Source organism: Homo sapiens, chromosome X (assembly GCF_000001405.40).
Source record: "Homo sapiens chromosome X, GRCh38.p14 Primary Assembly".
Classification (NCBI taxonomy): Eukaryota; Metazoa; Chordata; class Mammalia; order Primates; family Hominidae; genus Homo; species Homo sapiens.
Genome location: NC_000023.11, coordinates 41,781,224 through 41,798,696, shown reverse-complemented (window position 1 = coordinate 41,798,696; position 17,473 = coordinate 41,781,224). Strand labels below are relative to the sequence as shown.

Here is a 17,473-nt window from a genome sequence, read left to right as displayed (position 1 = left end):
CACCCAGCTGATTTTTATATTATTAGTGGAGACGGGGTTTCACCATGTTGTCCAGGCTAGTCTCAGATTCCTGACCTCAGGTGATCCACCTGCCTTGGCCTCCCAAAGTGCTGGGATTACAGGCGTGAGCCACCGCCCCTGGCCGCAGCTTATTAGTTCTGTGAATGAGTTACTTAACTGCTCTCTGTCTATTCATATATAACATGAGCATCATCTGCCCCTTAGAATTATTGCGAGGTTAAATGGGTCAACACATCTAAAATAGAGCCTGACTCATAGTAAGTACTCAGTAAATGTTAGCTGATGGTTATTGTTGTTAGACACATTAAAGGCAAATAATCATCTCATCTTTGTATTTTATTATTGAGACCAATAATATTGTCTAAAGCCAGAGACCTTGGTGAAACGCTGGGTGCCCAGCTAGCTATAATATGATCTTTAGTTCCCTCTAGTGGAAGAAAATTAGATAGGCTCTTTGCATAAACATGCTGCTTTTGGAATTGTGATCATTTAACCTAATAAAATTACCCCTGAATAATTAACCAAAGACAATATCCACATACATAAATGGATTTAAGAAATTGTTAAAACTTACAATCTTAAATATTCTTTCCAAGTGAAACTTTTTTGGGGACGTGTAATTTATAATATTAAATAATATAGTATATAAACCATCCAGTGACATAAAAAGTTAGGCATATATTACTTTTGTTTAAAACAAGTGCATTCAGTAGTAGTAGTACCTTGAAGTTTTCCATTTTAACATTCATACCCAGTTATCTGCAAGTAGATGGCATTTCTTGGTCATTCTCTGAGAAGTCTTTAATCATTGTGATATGCCACCTGGAGTAGATTTCCTTGAAGTTTTGGCATTTTTAGTATCCTCTTCCACACAGCCTATGGGGTAACAGAAAGATTGCTAGATTGGGAATCTGAGACCTGGGTTCATCTTCCAGTTCTGCTATGAAATATCTGTGTGACTTCGGGCATGTCTTACTAGGGCCTCATTTTCCTTCTGAGTAAAATTTGAGGATAGAGAGGAGCATGTGATGATGACTGTCTTGCTGTCACTTCTGTTTCTAACATTCTCTGATTCAGTGATACATACACTTTGATGTGAGACAGGAGATGTATAATAGATGTTGAGTCTAAGTTGGGTAAATGGGTCCTGTATGCTTGATGTTGCCTTCTAGCAGGATTGGCAGGAATGGAAATCACCAGCAGTGGAATGATTTGGTAAATGCCAAGATCTTGAGGCATCTATGGAGGCGGTTGCTAGATTGCAGCAGGGTATGCCTCCCTCAGCTTGGGAGATTGTTAAAGAGAACTTTGAGGCAACGTCTAAGTGGGATCTTGATGAACAAGTAGGGGTTTACCAGGCAGAGAAGGAAGCACGTGGAGTATCATACAGAGGGAACAACATTTGTCAGGGGACAGAGAGCAGGGGGCCGGTGCACAAGCTGCGGGTGGTTCAGGATTGGGGTCAGGGAGGCTGAAGGAAGAAGCTACTGGAAAGGAATGTATAAATGTGTGACTTCAAAAAAAAAAAACAAGAGCTAAATTGTTTGACTAAGAAGCCGGAGAGCTAGCTTCTATTTCCAGTTATACTGTTAAATAGGTCTGTGAACCCTAGTTAAGTTGTTGGACTTAAAAGATTTTTTGGAAGGCTTTCAAAGCCATGCTTAGGGATTATAATGTCTTGCTGTATGGAATGGAGCTCAGTGAAGGTTTTGGAATAATATAATATCTGTTTTAGAGTAAAACTATGATGACACTTTAATGAGTCTAAAGAGAAGAAACTAGAGGCAAAGAAACCCATTTAAAGATCTTTGCTGTGATCCAGTCAAGAATTGTTGAGGGCTGAAACTAGGGTAACCGCAGTAAGGGAAAGATAGTTTTGACAGGTGTTGCAGAAATAGAATGGACAGGTTTTGGCAGCTGCATATAGGAAGTAGAGGAGAAGTGGTAGATGGTGTGAAGATGACTCCAAGGGCTGTCTGGAAGATTAATAATTTTGGTAATCAGTAGGCCACACACATACAGCTACATGGGTTCTGTTTTACTTTTCTTAACTAGTGTCCTTATTATTAAACATTTTGAGTGTGTCTAGTTTTTTTCCCAAATAACCCTATGGTCATCTTGAGGTTTTTTACGAAATATGTGATTTCCCAAAAAACTGTAGATGAAAAACTGCAAAGTTAAAGTAGGCATAGAACTACACTATATATAGCAGTGTGGTTTACTAATAGATGTTCACATTGCTGCCTTCTTGGTGTCAAACTCGGTTTGATTGACATTTGTTAAACATAGAATGATTTCCACCAAAAATGATGAAAGGAAAAGAAAACAAAACTTATTGTGCATGTGCACTCTCACATACTTTATTAATCATCCAGGCCTAACTACAACCCTGTATAGGAGTTGTTATCTTACTCTTTCTATTTTACAAATGAGGAAACAGATGTTCTAAGGTTATGCAGCTACTAAGTGATGAAGACAGGAAAGACAGGTCTTTTGACTACAAGTCTATTGCCCTATCTATTATATCATAACTGCCTGCCAGCAGAATGTGTTAGTGCTTAAAAGGATAGATGCCAGATCTGTGGAAGTAGGGTGACCAGTCATCTTGGTTTGCCTGGGAATGAGGGTGGGTTCTCAGAACCCAGGACTTTCAACCTGGAAAGATCCTCGGTGCCACAACTGAGAAAGTTCCAGGCAAACCAGGACAGGTTGGTACCCTGTCCAGAAAAGTCACTTATATGAAATAAACCATTATCTAGAATGACTTAAATAAGGTATTTACTGTATTTCTTTCCCATAATATTGTGTCATCAATGCTAAATGACAAATGATTCCTAAGTGAAGAGGAGTTAAGGCCCCGCCTTCCTTCCATCTGTTTGTTTTCACTGGCTCTGAGCATCCTGCCTTGCTGCAGTTACACTCAACTGTGTGTGAATCAGATACTAGATGCCTTTGCTTCTAAGTCAGTTTTATTTTATTTTTTATTTTTATTTATTTATTTGTTTATTTTTAGACAGGATCTCACTCTGTCTCCCAGGCTGGAGTGCAGTGGCATGATCTTGGCTGACTGCAACCTCCACCTCTCGGGCTCAGGTGATCCTCCCACCCCAGCCTCCTGAGTAGCTGGGACTACAGGCACACGTCACCGCACCCAGCTAATTTTTGTATTTTTTGTAGGAACAGGGTTTCACCATGTTGCCCAATCTGGTCCCAAACTCCTGGGCTGAAGCGATCCACCTGCCTCAGCCTCCCAAAGTGCTAGTAGAATTACAGGCACGAGCTACCGTGCCTCGTCTCTAAGTCAGTTTTTAAGGAAACTTATGCTTTGCCCATTCCAAATTTGATGAAATGGCAAAAGAGCTATTCAGGGAAAAATCAAGGAGGGCTGTCAGTATCTGTGATTTCAAAGTATTTATCAAAACAATTAACTCATTTTTCTTGGTCCTTTTTCAAATAAGTATCACATATTGGTAGTTATTTCTTTACGATAAATTTGTTTTATACTATTTTTATGAGACTTTGTTGACAAAAGGATTCTGTAGCTGGATGGGGAAACCCATATTATTAAAAGAAAAAAAAACCTCAGATAATCATTTCACTATGCCGTACAGAATTTTTACCTCATTCATTTTTTACATATTGAAACAGACCACAAATTGCTTTCTGGGAAAAGTTTTGGCCCTGCTGTCAGTATTTCCTGGGCTGGCCCCATCCTGGAAGAAGATTTGGGGGAGAAATGGGTGGTAAGGAAATCTATCCTGTCAACGTGTCCTTGTTGAGCTCCTCAGCTATCAGTTAATAAATATAGAAAGTAAATTATAGATAACACAATTATGAAAGTATAAAGCACAGGTATGTGAAGAACATTTTTTTTCTTTGACATATTAGTTGAATTCCCATTTTATTTCAGTAACTTCTCGTTTGCTTTTTAAATTTTATTGAAGAACGTGTATGCACAATAAAATGTACCCATCTAATTGTACACTTCAGTGAGTTTTGACAAATGTATGCATTCTGTCATCCCACAAAGTTCCTTCGGGCTCTAACATGTATGATTTTTAAGACTTTAATATTGAAAAGTAATTGAGTTATAAACTGATATTTCTCTAATTTTCTTGTATAAAGTAAGGAATACCATGTTGAAATAGGTGTCTGGTTTTTCTAATAGTCAAATGCCCTGATCTTCCCCCCTTTGGTTTACATTTCCCAAAATGAAAAGCAACAGAGCAATTGCACCTTTTAGACAAACTTAGAGCATTGTATTTCTATTTTTGTCATATACAAATTTGTTACACTTATCAGAACTGAAAACTCTTTGGGAAATATATTAACAAAACCCCATTAATTTGTAAATGCTTAATGCAGCTAAGATTGATTTCTAATTAATACACATTTGCCTATTTAAGAAAATTTTCACATCAGTCAAACACTGAATTAATGGTATGCTGCTTCCTTTCTTTATTCACCTGATGATGATATTTGGGGCCATAGGAATTTTTTTTCAATGGGCAAGAATTCAAAGAAATTAGAAGGTGCTTGGATTTCTGTTTGTGTGTGTGAAAAAAGACAACAAAATGTATAGAGCTAGTAGTGAAACATGTAAAAAAGAATCAAAGAAATTATGAGTTTGCAGTTGACCCAGATTTCTATGGTGGCCTGTCTAGGCCTCTACTCTTCACTAGCTGAGGTCAACTTTCCTGAAGGTCAATGAGGAAGATAGCCTCATTAAAGCCAACCTGACCTGTGTTGTTGCCAAAGGCAGCTGGGATCTTTATTCTTCAACTTGATTATGAGATAAAGGTAGAACCCAGCAGCAGAAATTGACTTTGCTACTATAATCCTTCCAAGGTTCTGCTTGGATTCCTTTCTTAAAGTATCATTTGGTCATTCATTTCAGTACACTAAGGAAAAATATGTTGAGTCAATAATGACTTTCATTTACTTATTTTGTTATTAATATTTATTGAAATGAACACATTAGTACTTGTCCTAGTTCTTTCTATGACTAGATTAGAATATTCTTTATTTTGATTTTGAGTCCAGGTCAGCTCTTAGCGAATTTTGTTTAACTGTTGAATTTCTAACACAACCTAGACATTGTTTGGAAATGAATGAGAATACTTGTATATTTGTTAGGAAAAGCGCAGTATCTAGTTTCTGACTATCACTAGTTACAATGCAGCTGAAATAAGCCGGTTCTGTAACAGTCTTGATAGCCTGTCATTCAAGTCAGTATTACCATATTAGCACTATTGTGTGATTGGATCTTAGGATATATAAAAACTATGCAGACCCAGGAGGCACTGTGGTGTGATGTAAAGAGCAAAGGGCTTTGGTTATTAGTCCTGCTTCCTCCACTTACTAGCTGTGTGATTTATATCATTGAGCCCTGGACCTCAGTTTCTACCTCTGTAAAATGGGGAGATATATGTGCATATATATGTATGTGTATATGTACATGTATGTCATGCAGGGTTATTACAGTAACAAATGAGGACTTATAGAGGGGCACTTTAAAGTCTCAGAGTTTGCATTAGATTAACAATAGTGAAGAAATTCCAGATTTAGTTATTAAATGATGGATTTGGGTTATTAAAAGAAGCTATAGGATTTCCTTCTGTGAAAGTATTTTTTAAAAACACATCTGTTTGAATTTAGATTCTTTTTGGAATGACTGACATTATAAATATCTGTAAGAATTACAGAACTCACAATCAGGAGAGGATAAGAATTAAAGCAAGTCAACTTATCTAGAGTGGCACCATTCCAATTTGGTAGACACTAGCCACATGCAGTTATTGAGCACTTAAAATGTGGCCAGACCAAATTGAGATTTGCTATAAGTGTAAAAATACATGCTAGATCTCAGAGATAATAGTACAAAAAAAGTAACTTATTTTATTAATTTTAGTATGATTATATGTTGAAATAATACTTTGTATACATTGAATTGGATAAAATATGTTATCAAAATGAATTTTACCTGTTTCTTTTTACTTTTTTAATGTGGCTACTGGAAAATTTAAAATTATATGCATGGCTTACATTATACTTAAATTGGATGGTGTTGATCAAAATCTTTATTGAGCTAGGTGCAGTGGCTCACACCTGTAATCCTAACACTTTGGAAGTCCAAGGCAGGAAGATTGATTGAGGCCAGGAATTCGAGATCAACCCGGGCAACATAGCGAGACTCTGTCTCTATAAACTATTTAAAAATTAGCTGGGCATGGTGGCACGTGCCTGTAGCCCAGCTGCTCAGGAGGCTGAGGTGGGAGCATCCCTTGAGCCCAGGAGTTCAAGGTTACAGTGAGCTATGATCACACCACTGCACTCCAGCCTGAGCAACAGAATGAGACCCTAGCTCAAAAAAAAAAAAAAAAAAATCCTTATTGAATGCTCTCGAGCAAACGAAATCTTAAATTTAGATCTTTTAAGTTCAGATACAGATAGAATGAAAAGTTCTCCTAGTTCTTCAAGAAAAATAGTAGTAAAATAATACTTTACAGGAAAATCATTTTTAAAACAGACCACTTGAACCAGCTTCCCTAACTTTCCCTTACTTGACCAGTCTGATAGGCAGACCCTGGTGGGATACTTGCTTTACTATTGTTGGAGAGCCCAAACTTTTTAGGAAAATAATAGTCATTCTAATGCCATATGGCAGGTTGATTTCATTTAAGTTTCTAATTTGGGTTAGAAAATTAAATATTGCTACCTGTATTACTAGTTCCCCTTTTAAAGGGAAATAAATTGATAAAATAAATATAGGCATATAGTTAAATGTAAGGACACTAAACACAGAAATAGATTAGTTTAAAATATTTTTAAAATTTCCTGAGAAATTACAAAAAAGAAAGTACAACTTAGCCATAAAAAGGAACAAAATAATGCCATTCACAGCAAGCTGGATGGAGTTGGAGACCATTATTCTTTTTTTTTTTTTTTAATCTGAGATGGAGTCTCCCTTTGTTGCCCTGGCTGGAATGCAGTGGCGTGATCTCGGCTCACTGCAACCTCCGCCTCCCAGGTTCAAGCAATTCTCCTGTCTCAGCCTCCCGAGTAGCTGGGACTACAGGTGCACGTCACTACACCCGGCTAATTTTTGTATTTTTAGTAGAGACGGGGTTTCACCATATTGGTCAGGCTGGTCTTGAACTCCTAACCTCAGGTGATCCACCTGCCTCAGCCTCCCAAAGTGCTGGGATTACAGGTGTGAGCCACTGCACCCAGCTGGAGACCATTATTCTAAGTGAAGTAACTCAGGAATGGAAAACCAAACATTGTATATTCTCACTAGTATGTCAGAGCTGAGCTATGGGGACGCAAAGGCATAAGAATGACACGATGGACTTTGGGGGAAGGGTGGGAGGGGAGGTGAGGGATAAAGACTACACATTGGGTACAGTGTACACTGCTTGGGTGACGGGTGCACCAGAATCTCAGAAATCACCACTAAAGAACTTTTCCATGTAACTAAACACCACCCGTTCCACAAAAGCTATTGAAATTAAAATAAAAAATGTACTCATTAAAAAAAAAGAAAGTACAAAGGAGAGTGAAGAGAGGTACCAGTTACTAGTCTGTAAACAAAACAATACTTCAAAATAGAGATGGTAACCCTGGGTCATGTCATTCCCAGGTACATTTTGTGCTAACATCTGTAAGCAGTCAGATAATCACCACTTTAAATCATATTTTCATCACCTGCTTTCAAATTCCTTCCTACTTTGCCTCTAGAGTTGATTTGTAGGCAAATAGTGTTTTTAGTTTGCTATATCAGCGTGGACTTAATAGCACTTAATACATATATCTTTAATTCACATTCATATTTAGAAACAAACATTTTGAGTTTAATATTCGTGGAATCTATAGTTGGAATGGATATATTTGTGTTTTTAATTGTGCTATTTGAGCTATTTAATTTATACTTGAATTCAGGAAAACATGACCACAATTTTTCTAGATCATTGCCCTTATCATTTGAAATATATTTTTATGTTGCTAGTTTCATACTAGCAAATCAAGTCAAATCAGTGTTCTGACTTTAGTTCTGAAATGTCAGATCCGGTGACATTTAAATTGCTTTGAAGGCTGGCCCCCCAGCAATTCTGCCTTTATTTTGAGAGTGGGTAGGTGATAAGAGACTAGACCAAGGACTTGTTCAGCCATTTACCAAATCAAAATGTGAGGCTCAAATGGAGCCAAATGTGTGGCAGAAATGGAGCATCCATTTCTGCTTACAAACTTTCAGTATAACCAATGTATCACATAGCAAATGGTGAATGTGGAGATAAAAATACAATTTAGACTGGGCACAGTGGCTCATGCCTATAATCCCAGCACTTTGAGAGGCCGAGGAGGGTGGATCACTTGAGGTCAGGAGTTCAAGACCAGCCTGGCCAACACGGTAAAACCCCATCTCCAGGTGCTAAAGTTGAACGAGCTGATGGATATGAACCACCAGTCCAAGAATCTGTTTAAAGTTCAGACTTAAAATAGTGGCAAATAAAAAGTCCTCATTTGTGATGGTTTGCTTCTGAAAGAAAAAAAAAAGTCTCTACTAAAAATGCAAAAAATTAGCCAGGCATAGTGGTGCACACCTGTAATCCCAGCTATTCAGGAGGCTGACGCAGGAGAATCTCTTGAACCTGGGAGGTGGAGGCTACAGTGAGCCATGATCACGCCACTGCACTCCAACCTGGGCAACAGAGCAAGACTCTGTCTCAAAAAAGGAAAAATACAATTTAGTTACATGAAAGAGGCAAAATAGAAAATAAGCTGAAAATAAAGAGAAAATATCAGTTTTAATTGTGGCAAACACCAAATCTGTTTACTTCATGACTCCTGTGTCACAGGATAGAGTTAAAATCAGGCTTTTGATTAGAATAGAGAGGAATGGAAAGAGAAAAACTTAAGTCGAAAACAGAAGATATGAAAGGGTGAGTTCTAATAAAAATGGGAAGCTAGAGATAAACATAAAAATGAGTAATAAAAATTTTAAGCTTTTCCTAGAATTAGAAGGCAGAACACTCCTGGAGAGGAAAAATCTGTGCAGGCATGTGATTGATGTTGTCTGGCTCAGCCTGGCCCTCCAGCACACTTGTTAAAAGCTTTCCTCATGGTTATGACTTCCCAGCACAAACCCCACAGCTGCTTCACATCCTCCCCTCCTGCGGGGCCTTCCTAACTACTTTTGGAGATGGAGGCATCTTTCCTGTGCCTCTGATCTCTTCCTTTGCAGTAAACACTGAGCCCCCAGCCCTGCCATGCTGGGCTCCAAACATCCAGCTTCTCATTAGAATCTTAACACTGCCCTCTCCAACTGATTTGGTAGACTCTGCAGGTACCACATCACTTGTCACTGCCCCATTTCATTGACTCTAAGAAAGTCATTTGTAGAAGTTAGCAGTCAGCTTGCAGATGGTAGGACAAAGGCAGGACCAGCACCATATTTTCTGACTCCAGATCCTGTAGGCTTTTCCTCACTGCCACTTACAAACACACAGAGTGCTTCCTTTAAAAAAACAAACAAGTAAAACCTTCTCTTGACCCCGCTATTTCTTTCCTACTGCCAGATTCTTCTAATATGATCGTGTTCAAACCCAGCATGGCATTATTGGAAGGACTGCTGACTTTGGAATTGGGCAGGCCAGGGTTCAAAACCTACCCTCATGATAGCTGTGTGATCTTGAACACGTTTCTAAGCCTCAGTTTCTCCATCTGTAAAATACCTACCTCACAGTGTGGTTGGGACATCAAGTGACAGTGACTATATTAAGTACTTAGCCCAATGAGAGGTGTGATAATTTTAACTGATTATTACATAATTGTCTCTGGCATACTGACCTCAACCCTGACTCCTCCCCAAAAGTTGATCTTGCTCAGGATTCTCATTACCTTTTCTGGCTGAATCTTGTGGTCTTTTCTCAGCTTTCAGCCTTCTCCAGCTATTTACAACTTAATTTCCTCTACTCTCTTGATTTTCTTAATATTATTGATTCTTCCTTTCCTTGTGGCTTCTCTTTTGTCAAATTTTCTGACTTCTTTTTCTCATTCTACCCTTATGTAAGTCAATCTTCTAAGGTTCCATCTACGATCATTGCTCTGTTGACAAGACTAAGTTGAATTAATAAATCAGAAAGGAGATAATATTATCTATTTTACTTTCTGCAGTACATCCTTAGCCTTGGTTCTTCCTTACCTGTCTCCCTTCGACTTTCTAATATAAAAATGTCACATTGGATTTTAAGTCATCAGCAAACGGGTAAAGCCCCAGTGCTATTAGCACTGGATGGCTTTCATTATTCTATTCCATGTAGACATGGCAAGCGATTTCCATGCCCAAACTGTTTTGTATGATGATGATGATGATATTAACAACTTTGTTTTCCAAATAGTATTATAGAGTTTACACAGTAGTCCTACATACATTATTTGGATTTGTTCTTCAAAGTAACATTGTGAGGTAGGTAGAGTTTGGAATTATCCAACACTTTTTTTTTTTTTTTTTTTTTGAGACAGAGTTTCACTCTTTGTTGCCCAGGCTGGAGTGCAATGACGCGATCCCGGCTCACTGCAACTTCTGCCTCCCGAGTTCAAGTGATTCTCCTGCCTCAGCCTCCCGAGTAGCAGGGATTACAGGTGCCCGCCACCATGCCCGGCTAATTTTTTACATTTTTAGTAGAGATGTGATTTCGCCATGTTGGCCAGGCTTGTCTCAAACTCCTGACCTGAAGTGATCCACCTGTCTCGGCCTCCCAAAGTGCTGAGATTACAGGTGCGAGCCACCACGCCTGGCCCCAGCACATTTTATAAATGATATTTTAAAAATTCTGACTTTGACTCTAGGAATAGTGCCTTTTCTGTTTAAACCATACTATTTTTTGTTCCCTATTCCGTATAACTTCCCTGATAGGTCTATAAATGCTAGATTTTAGGCTAAAGAATAGACAACATATTTTTATTTTATTTAGGGAAAACTAAGAAAAAGAGGTAAAAATCAAAACAGTAAATTGAGTTATTAGTTTATTAGCAGATCAAGGAAGAGTTACAAATTTGGAGGCTAAGATTTTATTAGAAGAGTTGGGGAAAGTATTTGTGGTTTGTTTTTTTTTTTTTTTTTGCTTTTGGGGAAAGTATTAAGAAATGTGTACTTTTTTTATTAAAAGCTCACTCTATACTGTATATAGATTTAAGCTTGCAAAAAATATGAAAAGCTATAGTCAAAGATTTTAAAGGGTAAAAAGTTAAGCTAAGTTTAAATGGGGGATTTCATCTCTCTAGTTAGAGAAGTATCCATGTTACCATAGATCACATCCATTCATTCATCATTCACTCTAATTGTCTTTTGTTCCTACCTAATGAAGTATGCTGTATGTTTGTTTTACAGATCTAAAGCGGGAAGCCAGTATCTGTCATATGCTGAAACATCCACACATTGTAGAGTTATTGGAGACATATAGCTCAGATGGAATGCTTTACATGGTTTTCGAATTGTGAGTGTGTATTTTAATTCTTAAAGGGTAAAACTTGAAGCAATGTTGGTGTTGGATAATGCTAACACTTTTCTCTTGAAATTTAGCAGTAGTTGTGAACTTATCTGTTCAGAAAGACCTAAAGTCACAAGAAAAAAGGATTATGTCATCATAAGGTTTACAGTGGCAAAGGAAGCAAAAGCTGGGCATATTCAGTTACTCTTCATGCTTTCAGCATGCTTCAGAGAAGAGACTCCAAAAGGAAATTGAGTTCAGAGGAATAGGAGGACCCCAAACTATAAACTTCTGACCAGTAGAAGTCTTAGTGAAGAAGAGTAGGATGAAAGTGGAGGCATCCATGTAGCAAGACTCTTGGCAACTAAAAACAAGTAACGACAGACTTAGTTCCTCTTTTGATATAATCACCATATGGCATATAAGGGCAATTTTATAGATCACAGTGTATCTTGATTTCAATAAGTCACTTGATATGTCTGTCGCAGACTTTTTGTTGGTAAGATGGAGAATTGTGAGCTAAGGATAGTACAACTGGGTCATCCAGCTCTGGTCGGATGATTGTGTCCAAAGAGATTATATAAAGCTTTATAGGACAGCATCCTACAGGGTTTTATCTTTGATCCTATTCTGTTCAAAATTGTAATCAGGCCGGGAGTGGTGACTCATGCCTGTAATCTCAGTGCTTTGAGAGTCTGAAGCAGGGAGGATTGATTGAGGCCAGGAGTTCGAGACCAGCCTGGGAAACATACCAAAACCTATCTCTATTTTTTTCTAAAAAAAAAAAAAAAAGGTTGTAATCAGTGACTTTGATTAGGAAAAAAAACAGAAGATATACTTGCTAAATATTCAAAAGATACCAAGGTCAGAGGTTATATTCATTACCTATTGCTTCATAACAAAATGCCCCAAAATGTAATGGCTTAAAACAACATACATTTATTATCTTAGTCTCTGTGCATCAGGAATGTGTGTTCCAACTTAGCAGGGTCCTCTGGCTCTGGGTCTCTCACAAGGTGATAATAAAGCTGTTGGCCAGAGCTGAAGTCATTTTGAGGCTCCACTACAATGTGGATCTGCTTCCAAGCTCACTCACATGATTGTTGGCAGTCTTACCTTCCTCACAGGCTACTGGACTGAGAGCCACAATTCCTTAAGAGCTGTTGGCCCAAGCCTCCCTTGGTTCCTTGTCCGTTGGGCCTCTCCATAGAGCAGCTTCCAGCATGGCAGCTGGCTTCATCAGAGCAAGCAAGAGGACAAGTGAGAGTATGAGCAAGACAGAAGTCACAGTCTCGTAACCTAATCTCCAAAATTACACACCATCACTTCTGCAGTTAGAAATGAGTCACTAGATCCAGCCTATACACAAGGGGGATGGGATTATACCAGGGCCTGAATATCAGGAGGTGAGGATCACTGGGAGGCATTTCACAAGTTGCCCCCTACAAAGGGCTAGCTAACATATTGGCTGTCTACATCAAAATTCAAAAATATTTTTACAAGTTTGTAGCAAAGGAGCTGAAACAAAGAAGGTGAAATTTAAGACCAGTTAATGTTAACTCCTTCATTCAAATATGAGTAAGTGCAAGATCAGTGTGAATTTAGTTGTGATTATGTGAAAAAAGATGTAAACATTTTAGTTGTTGTTTGCAACAGCTTAAAAAGCGCTGAATGGAAGGTTATGCTACATTAATTAGGAGTATATAGTATTCAGAACAAAGTCATACTCCTCCCGTTCACCCTGGACCATTCATAGTAAGCAGGACACTGGAATGTCTGCAGAATAGGATAACCAGAATGGAAAGGAGCCTGAAAATTGTGTCATAGAGACACAGCCTTCAAAATCTTTTCTGGCAAACCTGCTAAAAGAATTTTGAGGCCAGGCGTGGTGGCTCATGCCAATAATCCCAGCACCTTGGGAGGCCAAGGCAGGCGGATTGCTTGAGCTCAGGAGTTCAAGACCAGCGTGGGCAACATGGCGAAACCCTGTCTCTACAAAAAATACAAAAACTAGGTGGGCATGGTGGCACACGCCTGTAGTCCCAGTTACTTGGGAGGCTGAGGTTGGAGAATCACCTGAGCCTGGGAAGTCAAGGCTTTAGTGAGCCATGATTGCACCACTGTACTCTAGCCTGGGCAACAGAACAAGACCCTGCCTCAAAAAAAAAAAAAAAAAAAAAAGAATTTTGAAAAACGTATGTACCCCTTCACATATTTTTTAGGTTGATATATAAAAACTTTTATTGTGAGAATATAATTCTCAGTATCTTGAATATTCTTTTAAATATGTTTTGTTTGTTTGTTTTTTTGAACAGAGTCTCACTCTGTCACCCAGGCTGGAGTGCAGTGGCGCAATCTCGGCTCACTGCAACCTCCGCCCCCTGGGTTCAAGCAATTCTCCTGCCTCAGCCTCCCGAATAGCTGGGACTACAGGCACGTGCCACCATGCCCGGCTAATTTTTGTATTATTTAGTAGAGATAGGTTTCACCAAGTTGGCCAGGCTGGTCTCGAACTCCTGACCTTGTGATCTGCCCGCCTCGGCCTCCCAAAGTGCTGGGATTACAGGCATGAGCCACCACGCCCAGCCTTAAATATATTTTCTACACAACTGTAGAATTGCCTGTTTATCTCATTCACTGTATGGAAAATGTCTGCTATGTGACCTACATGGCAATGCTAGTCCTTATTGTCAAATCACTCAGCCAAATCAGACTCATTTTCTGTCAGGGAAAAAAAAAATCTGACTTCATTTTTCAAACAAAATTAAAGTGTTAAATGGACATCCCTGTGACACTCATCTTAGTATTGATTTTGAATTCTTAAACAGCTTACCATGAATATATTGCCTGGATAAAGTAAGGTGGAACCTCCCTTTTTTTCTCAAACTCTCTTTGTTTTGCTTTCAAAGGTCTCTCCCTCCCTCAGGGGCTGTGCATTTCCCAGCCATCTCTTTGAAGTTAGGCTTTTTGGGTTGGAGGAGTAGTTTGCCTTTTGGATGGGTAACTGGAGATGTGGAGATGGGTGATTGTAGTTGTGGAGATGTAAAAGAAAAACCGCAGACCACAGACTTGTTTACAAACAGACAAAATTATGGAAAATGAAGATATGGAAATTGATTGCCTTAAAAATATCCTAGTTCATGTGTCTCCTGGAAGGACTTTGGGTATTCCCAGAGATACCCAAATCCTAGGTTGAAGACCACTGGCCTAGAAGAGCTGTTGAAAAGACTGGGAGGCTTTGGTTATCCACGAATGTATTCGTTTCATTATTCTGCTGGAAGAGTCCCCAAAGCAGAAGCCCATAGATAGAACATAATCAATGTCCACAGTTATTTGAAAGATTGTCATATATAAGACTATATGCTTATTCAGTGTGGCATCAGAGGCTGTAACTAGAATCAACAAGTGGCAGACGTCACCTCTAACTAAAGAAGACCTTTTTGATGATTAAACTTACTCCATGAATGAAGCAGCCTGTCTCACAGACTATGTAGTTTCTCACTAGAAGCACTCAAGTTGAAGCTGGATCCTTCCAAGGGGCCTGAAGATAAGGTTTTAATTTTGGACTAGAGATGGCCTCTAACATCCCTTCTAATTTTAAGATATTGTAATTCTTTTGTTTTTTTTTTTTTTTTGAGACAGAGTCTTGCTCTGTTGTCCAGGCTGGCGTGCAGCGGCGCGATCTTGGCTCACTGCAACCTCCGTCTCCCAGGTTCAAGCGATTCTCCTCCCTCAGCCTCCCAGGCACAGGTCACCACGCCTGGCTAATTTTTGTATTTTTAGTAGAGACAGGGTTTCACCATGTTGGCCAGGCTGGTCTCGAACTCCTGACCTCAGGTGATCTGCTTGCCTCGGCCTCCCAAAGTGCTGGGATTACAGGCATGAGCCACTGTGCCCGGCCAAGATATTATAATTCTTTTAAAATTACTTATCTGGTTTAATTTTATTCTTTATTCAAGAAATATATTTCTGTCTGTATGTTTATTTTCTGAGAAAACTAAGAACAAGTTGGGTTTGTTTTTTGTTGTTGTTGTTTTTGTTTTTAACAGTCTCACTCTGTCGCCCAGGCTGGAGTGCAGTGGCGCCATCTTGGCTCACTTCAGCCTCCACCTCCTGGGTTCAAGCGATTCTTTGCCTCAGCTTCCCATGTAGCTGGGACTACAGGCGCATGCCACCACGCCTGGCTAATTTTTGTATTTTTTGAAGAGACGGTGTTTCATCATGTTGGCCAGGCTGGTCTCACACCCCTGGCCTCAAGTGATCAACCCTCCTCAGCCTCCCAAAGTTCTGGAATTACAGGTGTGAGCCACCACGCCCAGCCTCCTAAAAAGCAAGTTTTACATACTATATAAAGTAATGATCACAGAAAGCAAATTTTAAAAATTCACCTAAATTTCACCATGTATGCTAATTGTATCAAAGGGGACTTAGTGACAGTGTAGTAGAGAAAAAAGGATCTTTGGTTTCATAAAACCTGGGTTAACATCCCAGCTCTGTCACTTTTACTAATTATGTGAGGTTGGCCAAGTTTTATAAGTTCCCTGAGCCTCAGTTTGCTTACCTTCAGAATCTTCCTAAGATTATGAGAACTAGATGAGAAACTGTATGTGACTTCCCTTTGTAAGTGGTGAAGTGCTTTTTAACTATAAAGTATTATTTCCAGTGGCTTTAACAGGATAGTTTTAGTCCCTCATTGTTGAAGTAGTCTGTGTGGGATTTTATGTAACTAATTTTGTATGTTGTGATGGAAATAATTCATGGTTGGCTGTATATCGAGATGAGACCTGGTTAAATTGGATATTTTCCAGTGACCTGATCCCAGTGTTAACCCAAATCACTAGAACATGGCCTTATGTTTTCTTTTGTTTTGTTTTCTTTTTTAACAGTGTAATTGTGGAAAATTTCAAATGAAAAGAGAGAATAGTATAATAAACCCCAGCATACTGGTCACCAAGCTTCAATAGTTATCAAAACATTTTGCCATTCCTATTCTGTTCCTCCTGATGTCTTTTTCTCCCCTGGAGATTTCTAAAGCACTATAATTTCACCTATAAATACTCTTGTTTGTATTTCTAACAGATAAGGATTTTTTAAATGATCATATTATTATTATACCTAACAAAATCAACAATAATTCCTTAATATCATGTCATGATCAGTTGATACTCAGTTTTCCCTGATTGAACATGAATTTTAACTGACAGATTTCTGAATTTAGAATTGTTTTATTAGCTCTAGGGACCTGAAAGTAGATTATAAATTCAGTTAAAATAACTTAGTTATTTCTCAAAAGGGCCAGAAGCAAACTAGAAATAGAAAATTGTTCTTTTGTATCATTGTTTTGTAAATTCACCTCAACAATTGGCCTTGCACAGTTTTTTGCATCCTCCTTATCTCCTGGGTTTCAAACAAACCAAAAATATCGATTACTCTAAGATTTAAAGTCATGTGGAGCAAAAAACAAAGCCAATGCACTTGTGTATAGTTCCACCTACTGGCTAGGTGAGAGATTGCTTCTATAGCTGCTACGTAGACTAAGCTACTCCAGAATTGCCCTCATGTTTCTGGCAACAGATGTAATTACCCCTGGTATTTAGGGGCTCATTGCTCAGGTTATGGGTTATCTGGATCCTTTTTACAGTTTTTGTAACATGACACCCATACAGTGTAGACAATGAAAGGCAAAAAAATAAAATAAAATTAGGTCAGTTAGTTTTGTTGTTTGTTGGCTACTTAGAAGCAGCATTTATCATTTTGGTGGAGAAAAGGCTAGACAAAACAGCATATTTGGATCATGAGTGAGTTTCTTAATATGGTGTCCATATCTGTCTTTGCCACAGACTATGTATAACCAACACTCCTTTTTTTCTTCCTAAACTGAAGTCATGAAATTATATGGCCCGAGAATGTTGTTTATCATGTTAGAAAATCCTTAGAACTAGTTGATGGCTGGGCTCAGT

At 38.6% G+C, this 17,473-nt stretch overlaps 1 protein-coding gene across 11 annotated transcripts in view; it reads left to right on the top strand.

Annotated features, from left to right (window-relative positions):
* The window catches only part of CASK (calcium/calmodulin dependent serine protein kinase), a 408,621-nt gene that overhangs the window by 124,858 nt on the left and 266,290 nt on the right, over positions 1–17,473 (top strand). For all 11 annotated transcript variants that reach the window (NM_001126055.3, NM_001410745.1, NM_001126054.3 and 8 more), the window contains exon 3: positions 11,414–11,519. In NM_001126055.3, the coding sequence (NP_001119527.1) occupies positions 11,414–11,519 (106 nt within the window). The remainder of the gene's footprint in view (positions 1–11,413; positions 11,520–17,473) is intronic.